General features: G+C 37.5%; 1 long non-coding RNA gene across 2 annotated transcripts; it reads right to left on the reverse strand.

Moving 5' to 3' along the window:
• Nucleotides 1-6,281: 6,281 nt before the first annotated feature.
• On the reverse strand, nt 6,282-7,868 carry LOC105377186 (uncharacterized). Of its 2 annotated transcripts, none has more exons than XR_941008.1 (3): nt 7,783-7,868; nt 6,967-7,141; nt 6,282-6,362 (listed from the first exon to the last, which is right to left on the reverse strand). It is a non-coding gene; the product is annotated as an uncharacterized LOC105377186 (long non-coding RNA). The 2 variants fall into 2 exon arrangements; XR_941007.1 differs by having other exon boundaries at nt 6,337-6,422.
• Nucleotides 7,869-8,429: the final 561 nt, after the last annotated feature.

Genomic DNA, 8,429 nt, shown 5'->3' on the forward strand with positions numbered 1-8,429 from the left:
GACCTGTTAGGAACTGGGTCGTACAACAGGAGGTGAGCAATGGGTGAGTGAGCGAATCTTTATCTGTATTTACAGCTGCTCCCCATTGCTCACATTACTGCCTAAGCTCCATCTCCTGTCAGATCAGAGGCAGTATTAGATTCTCATAGGAGCACAAACCCTATTGTGAAATGTGCATGCAAAGAATCTAGCTTGAGTGCTCCTTGTGAGAATCTAATGCCTGATGATCTGTCACTCCCTTCCACCAACCCCAGATGGGACCATCTAGTTGCAGAAAAACAAGCTCAGAGCTCCAGTTGATTCTACAATATGGTGAGTTGTATAATCATTTCATTATATATTAAAATGTAATAATAATAGAAATAAAGTACACAATAAATGTAATGCTCTTGAATCATCCTGAAACCATCTCACCCCCAACCTTTGGGTCTGTGGAAAAATTGTCTTCCACAGAACCAGTCCCTGGTGCCAAAACATTTGGGTACAGCTGCTCTATCCTGGAGTATGTTCCATGTGCTAATGTTAATAAAATAGTCTATAAATGTCTGTTAGGTCTGTTTGTTCTAGGGTATACTTTAACTCCAATGACTGTCAATTTTCTGCCTGCATTAGCTATCCATTGCTGAAAGTACAGTGTTGAAGTCACATACTATTATTGTATTGAAATCTACCTATCCCTTTATATCAACTGGCACCTGCTCATGGGAAGAAGGCTGCTTCACGTGTTTTATTGGCTCAGATGAGTATGCATCATCTAGCAGGGCCCTGCACAAGCAGGATAGTTTCCTGACTTCAACAGGAGAGTTCATAGACAAGACTGGCTCCTATTCGTATATGCTGTGGAGTGGAGGCTGGTGTGCCTGTCACATTCGCTCAGATGGGCATGTGTTTCCCAGCAGGTCTCTGCATAGACAGGATAGTTTCTCAACTATAGCCGGGAGGCTGGATCTGAGACTGGGTCTCCTCAGGATCTGCTGTGGAAAAAAGGCTGGAGAGCCTTGTGTTTACTCAGAGGGCTGTACATCACACAGCACTTTCCTGCAGAGGTAGGAGCGTTCCCTGATTCAGTCAAACGGCCAGTTTTGAGATGGGACCTCCTCAGAATTTGCCGTGGGATGGTGGCTGAAGAGCTTGGTCTTTTTGGTTCAGAGCGGGACCTGTCTCCCAAGACGATGCTGCACATATGAGATAGTTCCCTGACTGCTGAAGCAGGAAGGGCTGGAGCTGAGACAGAGCCTTCCCAGGATCTACTGTGAGCTGTGGGTTGGAGGCTGGACAGTCCATCTCATTGGCTCAGACAGACAGACAGACATCTCCCAACAGGTCTCTGCACAAATGGGATAGTTCCCCAGCTGCAGTGGTAGAGGATGGAGCTGAGTCTGGCCCCTTCAGGATCTGCTGTGGGGCTGAGACTGAAAAGCCCATCTCATTGGCCTGGACAGGTATGTGTCTCCTGTCAGTTTTTAGTATAGATGAGATAGTTCCCTGACTGTAGCAAGAAGTGTCAGAGCCGAGGCTGGTCACCTTTGAGATCTGCTGTGAAATGGAGGTTGACAAACTGACCTGGGATGCCTAGACTTTGGGGCTGGGAGACGTGATAGTCTCCCTCTGGGTCCTTGTACAAACAGCAGCTCTGAGTTGAAACCTTAGCTGAGGAAGGCTGGAGTAGAACCACAGGGCAAGTTTCAGCCTCATTGCTGAGGCCAATGTTGGCAGGCAGAGGAGCCTTTCTACCAAGACACTAGCGTGTACAATTACTTTTGGACCCCTTGGCAGATAGTTTTGCTTGCAAACTCAAGGTCAAATGAGGCTATAGCCAAGTTGCGTGGGGGACTGGGCAATTTCTCGGCTTGAACTTGGAAGCAAGCTCAGTGAATTGCTTTGGGAGTGCAGACTAAACGCAGGAACAACGACCTGGGTGTTGTCTACTCTCAAAACAATACTCCTAGGTCTTGGGCTCCAGAATAGTTTCAAAAACTCCTATTTGAATCCTGAGGCTCCTATAGAGAAACTTTTAACTGTGGATTGGTATAGAATTTTTGTTGTTCTGGGGGGATATGAGTGCGTTATCTTCCATTCTGCCATTCTTGATGATGTCACTCTAGTGTTTAATTTTGATGAAGAATATTTCGTAAATGTTTTAATGGATCATAATTTTAGCATCAGAATTAAATATTTTTAATGTAAATGTGGATATGTTCTATTTTATAACATTGTGTTTGAAAACAAATAGACTTACTTAAATTGAAAATAAGTAAATAGTTACTTATGAGTACATTTTTGAACCTATTTGAGTATATTCCCTTGATATAAAGAATTGATGTAATTATCCTAATTATTTCTAGTGTTTTGTCAGGATTATAATAGAAAATGAATGGTAGGGAAGCCTAATTGGTGTTTTGAATAAAAAACTTGGTGCTGCGCATTGCTATGTCCTGCCAGTTTATGTAAAGAGTGCAAAAAATAAAGAACTCTTTATTTACATATATGTTTATTCACTTATCAATTTATTAAAATATTAATTAAGGGATTATTATGTGAAGATAATATGCTAGCTGTTGATAATTAAACAAAAAACAAATCAGACTTGAAAAAGTGGTAACATCTTTTTAGGAAAGGGCCACATATATTGAGAGAATAACAAGGATATTCAGGTTGAGATTTTGAGCTAAAAAATAATTTTTCTGCATAAGTATTACTTGACCTAAGACTTAATGAATAAGAGTTAGCTATTTATAGATTGATGAAATGATAATGGGATGATAACTTCAGATACAGAAAACATCACGTGTAATGTTCTTCCTGGGAAAAAGCAGCATAACACATAGGAAATTGATGTGAGACGAGTAGGACTGAAGTATAAAGCAGGACAGAAGATGAAAAACGTGAAGTGGAAGTAAAGGCAAACCAGATTGTGCAAAACCTGTTGGCCATCTAAACAATACTTAAACTATATGATAGAATATGGATGCTTGAAACTTTGTGTCCAATCTTTCCAAGAAAGGCCCACTGTATGACATTTGCTAGAAGAAAGATCACAGGACCCAAATTCAAAGCTAAATGTGTAATTAAGCTCTTTAACTTTCATCATTAGTAGATGGTCACCCACAATGACCATGCTAATTACTGAACATGGAAGTGCTATACTGGAACGTACGAAGGGACATCTGAGAGCAAAGTAGATGAAGCTGTACAGGGAATCAGATAGTTGATGGGCATAGCTGAGCCTCAGATCCAGGGCCACGTAGAGAACCACACATGCTTTTGAGCATTAACGATATGGGAACTATGTTGTTCCATGGTTCAACCAGATTGATGAGTGGGATACATTTTCTAAGCTGAAAGTCAGTAAATTGGCTTCGAGTGGGATCACTTCTCATTGAATTTCCTATATGAATTCAAAAACTACAAAAACTATAAGGCCATGAGGATATGATGGCTCTGAAACCAAGGAATCTGTTGGCCTACTAATGCTTCCAAACCATGACAACTGCCCATCCTTTCCTGACATAATGGCCTGGTCATGAGAGCAGTGAGTACAACAGTGGAGCGAGGGGTGGCATGAAGTGGGGCATTTTACCTTTTCCAAGTGCGATGCTGAGGATCAGTATATTATTTCATTCCAAACTTAATTTTTCACTTGCCAGGCATAATAAATTAGTGTTTCCCTAATGTCCTCTCTCCTCTACACAAAAAAATAGATATTTTAGAACAAAGAAGAAAGATTTATAAATGGGATATATAAGAGTATATTCAATTAAACAGGCCGAAAGATCACAGGACCTTCAAAATAAATATCTTGAAGGTGTAGGAGAAAGTGGAAAAAATGGGAGTGTCAATTCATTAAGAAGACAAGACAGGATGGAGTACCAAGCGCACGTGAAAAAATTTGCCTCCAGTACAAAGAAAGACACTTTCTACTTCTTAAAAGACACAAAGAAAAAAATAAAGACTGGGCATATGGCTGTAGGTTTCTAGAGTTGCTGGTGGGGAGATGAAGGAGTTCCCATCTGATAGCTTCTATTTTTTACAATGAATTCCGTGGCAATATCATCAGGTGAACATGTGTCTTGTGGGAGTTAGAAAGACCTAAGATGTTTGAGAACAAAAAAAAAATGTACAGTGGCAAAGTCTTCAGGGAATATGAGGGAGTAAGTCAGATAGGACTGAAGTCTCCCTAACCACTTTTCAAGAAATTATTAGCACTGGGTTATCTTTTGCAGGGAGGTTCAAGTTATGGCACTTGAGAATATAAATTTATATAATGGGTTTAATCTCCCCCAAATAAAACATAGATATCAGATACAGCATAGTAGACTAGGCAAGAAGAGAACATTTGTAACTAGTCTCCACCAGGTACTGGCTGCACAATTTAGACAAGTTATATAACCTCTAAGTTTAAAATTTCAACACAAAACTTTAAAATAATAACAAATATCATATACCTGATTTATTGAAGGACTTAACATGTGTGAAGCATTTATTACAAAACATGGTGCATATTTAGTCTTCATTGATGGTACTGATGAGGGTAATAGTAGCGAGAGTTATTACTATTTCAGACCCCCTTGATTGAGAGAGACACTAAGAGCGGAATATATCATAATCTGTTTCCCTGCTCATTTTTTCTCAGGCAAATTTCTTCTACTCCATCTGCTTACTTTCTTGCTCACTACATATGCTCCTTCATTTCAACTTTGTCTGTTATACTCCAGCATGGCTGAACTATTTACAGTATTCAAAAAAAATGCCATGTCACCTTACACATATGCACATTTGCACAGTTTTCTTGCTGCCTGGAAACACAACCAGTTCAACTAGTACTCCCACCAAAACACAAACATATGAACATCTCACTCCTCTTTTGCCAGTGGAGATTTCTCCTTTAAAATTCAACTCAGACACAGGTGGCATAGCTGAGTTGAATTACATGAATACAGGTTTGTGGCCATTCCTTCGTCCCTTCCTCTGATGAAATTATATAATATTCTCTGTGTCATATCAATTGATGATGAGCTTCCTGGAAGAGAATGGGCGCCTTCTCTTTTACATTAACTATCATACACAGATACTCACACACAAAAGGCTTCATACATAGTCATTCAATTTAAGGACAGCACCTCTGAAAGCAGAGACAACTCCACACACGCTCTAAACCAGGCTTCAGAGACAGAACGGTCTGTACATGATCAATGTGGGAATAAAAGGGCTGGAGTTTTTCCAAGTTATTAAAATCCTACCAACTGCACTATCAACAATAACAGTGGAAGTACAGAGATCCAAAGCAGTGCCAGGTTTGTTAAGAAGAAGGATCAATAGTTATGAAAGAGAATAAACCACACCACATAGGTGAAGTTAGTGAACAGGTGAAGGCAGGAAATAGTAAAGCTTTCCAAGAGAAAAAAAAAATGCCTCAGATCCAGAAATTCTTAACATCCAAATAAAATAAATGATGAAACAATCCAAACTTTCCTTTGGAAAGAGAGTGATTAGAGTAGCCTCAGACTCTCCTTCCGTGTTAGGAAATATCATAAGATGGGCACATAAAAAGCCAACGTGGCTTTCTGTACTACTTTTTACTTTTGGGTAATTTTGCATGTTTGCAAATTCTATTTTATGACTAGCATTTTATCTATGTTCTCTTTGGGATTTGAGAGTCTTTCTTTAGTGTATTCATTTAATTGTTTTCTGCTTGACTTAAGTACTAAATGTTTGGGGTATAGTTAACCTGAAGGTGGTTATTAGATTTTCCTTTACTTAGAAAAGAATGCTGCCTAAGACCACTCTATAACCTTGCCCCCCCCCATTTTAACAAATGCATTATCACTTTAATGATTCAATGCAGTGTGTTTCTTTTATGCAAAATATGGATTTGCAGAGAGAAAAAGAGAGAGAGAAATCAAGTAGATAAAAAGTTTTTTCTCATCTTCTACTGTATTTTATAGCAAGAATACAGTAAGGATATGACAGTTTGGGCATTCTTTGACGTATGGATACAGAAGTCCATTTTATTATAAACACTGTTTTAAGTCTTGGTACCTGATAAACAAGTTACTTTTCATTGTGGATACATAGTATAGTCGACCTCACCTTTTCGATTTGTTTAATATGTCTTCTGTATGCAGTTTTTTTTGTGTGTTTTTTACGCTTTTAAGAAGACTTGCCAACAATATTCTGTCATCTTTAATATCAAGTAGGACATCACTGACTTAAAGTTGCTTGGAAGAACAAGAGTACATTGCAGACACACATTGTTGAACTTATTCCTAGATTAAATTTGTGTTGATCAATGTCAATTCTTCCAGGATGCCAGATGGCATTTTGACTTACCCTTTCTTACATCAGTGGTGTTGCAGAAGTGCCTGTCAGTAGGGAAAGACGTAGGAAAGATGCTCTTTCACAGGGAAGGACTGGTGTCAGACCTTAAATACAATTAAGAGGAAAAAATAGGAATATTTTAAATAACTATTGTTTAAAAATTAATTGCACATGAGCTAAAGTAAACTAGTTTGCTCTTCCAGGAGGATCACAAAATAATTTATTTCCAACTCCATTTGAAGCTTGTGATAGTGAAGATATTCAAGGGCCTTTCAAACCATTAAACCTCTTTACATATCATTTAAAATATTCTCATGTGCCAAGAATAATTTTGTCTAATTGTTCAAAGAAAATAATGTTTTCTGAAACTTGCCATCTATACTTGGTTGATAGTTCAGGATAAATTATTAAAAATAATTTCACACATTTCATCTCAAATATTGCTTAATCCATTATGTATGTATTGTCTTACAGTCCAGAATCTGTGTAGATTATCAATCAAACTGAAGTAATTGCTACAGGAGAAGTGTCTGACCTAACTGCAAATGTCAAATAAATATGTTGGAGAGAAAATTATTTGATAAATTTCAGAAAACATTTTCTTTTCTCGATGGGCGGAAAAACAATAGTTTGTGTTTACAAACATACGTGTGTGTTTGATGGTCAGTTTTTCCCCATAATGCTACTGAATTCAAGTTGCTAGGGATATCTCAGGAAGAGGTACTAGCACTTAATATCTACTGTCTTTCAGTTCCTCTTATCATCGCTTTAACCCTCAGAATAAAGTGCTCTTTAGGACTTCTCAGTTTTGTAGATGAGGAAGCTGAAATTGGAAGAGAATAAGAGACTTGCTTAATTAAGGTCACACAAATATTAGATTGGTGCAAAGGATTGCAATAACCACAATTACTTTTGCACCAATGTAACTTTATTGCTGGAATGTCAATAGGAGTTTAAGTTGAGAGACTATTCTAAGAAATCTCACATCAAAGGCTTCTATGGCACCGTTCTTAATTTACTCATAGGTTTAGCTCTAATTTCTACAGTACAAATGATCAGTTTTCTTTATAAATTTTCTGCTCAGATTATATCTTGTTTTCCAGGGCAACGCCTTGCTTTTATGGGCTGGAATATGTAAGCTGGTTAACGTTGCAGAGGCCTCATGTTACATAGACCTGATATCAATAGAGGCAAAGATAAATAAGATCAAGTTGATATTAATTTGGTGGATAGGCACATTTCAATATTCTCTTGAGTCCTCTGCAGAAATCTGATTTTACAGACTGATGATAGAATAGATTTGTGTGGGGCAACATTTATGTAAATAAATATTTCAATATTATACTTCTTGCCATTCTAGTAATCAATTTCAAATGGGTTTGTTGTTGATTATATTTTTATAGATTTCTAAGAAGAACATATTATCCAAAGTAAGTAAAACTTATTTTACATGATCAAATTTACCTTTTAACTTAAAACTTTTCAATCTGGAGGTGCATTACACCTCGTAGAATAATTTGTGTAGAAGGTAAAGGATATTTAGGTGGAGGTTTCTGCTGTGGCTTCCCCTGTTAAAGGATGGTTCATTAGCATACAATAATGAGAGAAAGAGCAGTAATTTGTGACTATGCCCCAATCTTATTTGTTTAGACTAGGGCATTGCCTGACTTCCCTATGTGACGGAGTTCATGCATTAACAAAACTTTCTGCTTTTCTCAGACCCAACTTTTCTCTTTTTTAATTATCCAGTGTTCCAAAAAAATTTTTCTATTGGAATGATAGTTCCTGATTACATTAGTCTTCTCTCAGACCCCCACCTTCAACTTGTAAGTGATGTTATTCAAACCCATGATTTAAGCTTTTTTGTTTACTAAAGCTATTTCTTAGTGATTTTTCAGAAACATACCTATCATTCATGGACTCAATTTAATTGTGATAGCCATATTCTGTAAGCTCTCACTTTACCTTCCTTAACTCTGTGAAAGTCTTCTTTTTTTAAAGTGTAGAACTGAGAGTAAAACAGTTCATTTTTATGAGTGTTCCTTAAAAATATTATGACAAATAATGACATAGGTCATTAGCGTATGATGTCCTAATAGAATTATTTTTGT

Source organism: Homo sapiens, chromosome 3 (genome assembly GCF_000001405.40).
Source record: "Homo sapiens chromosome 3, GRCh38.p14 Primary Assembly".
NCBI classification, from domain to species: Eukaryota; Metazoa; Chordata; class Mammalia; order Primates; family Hominidae; genus Homo; species Homo sapiens.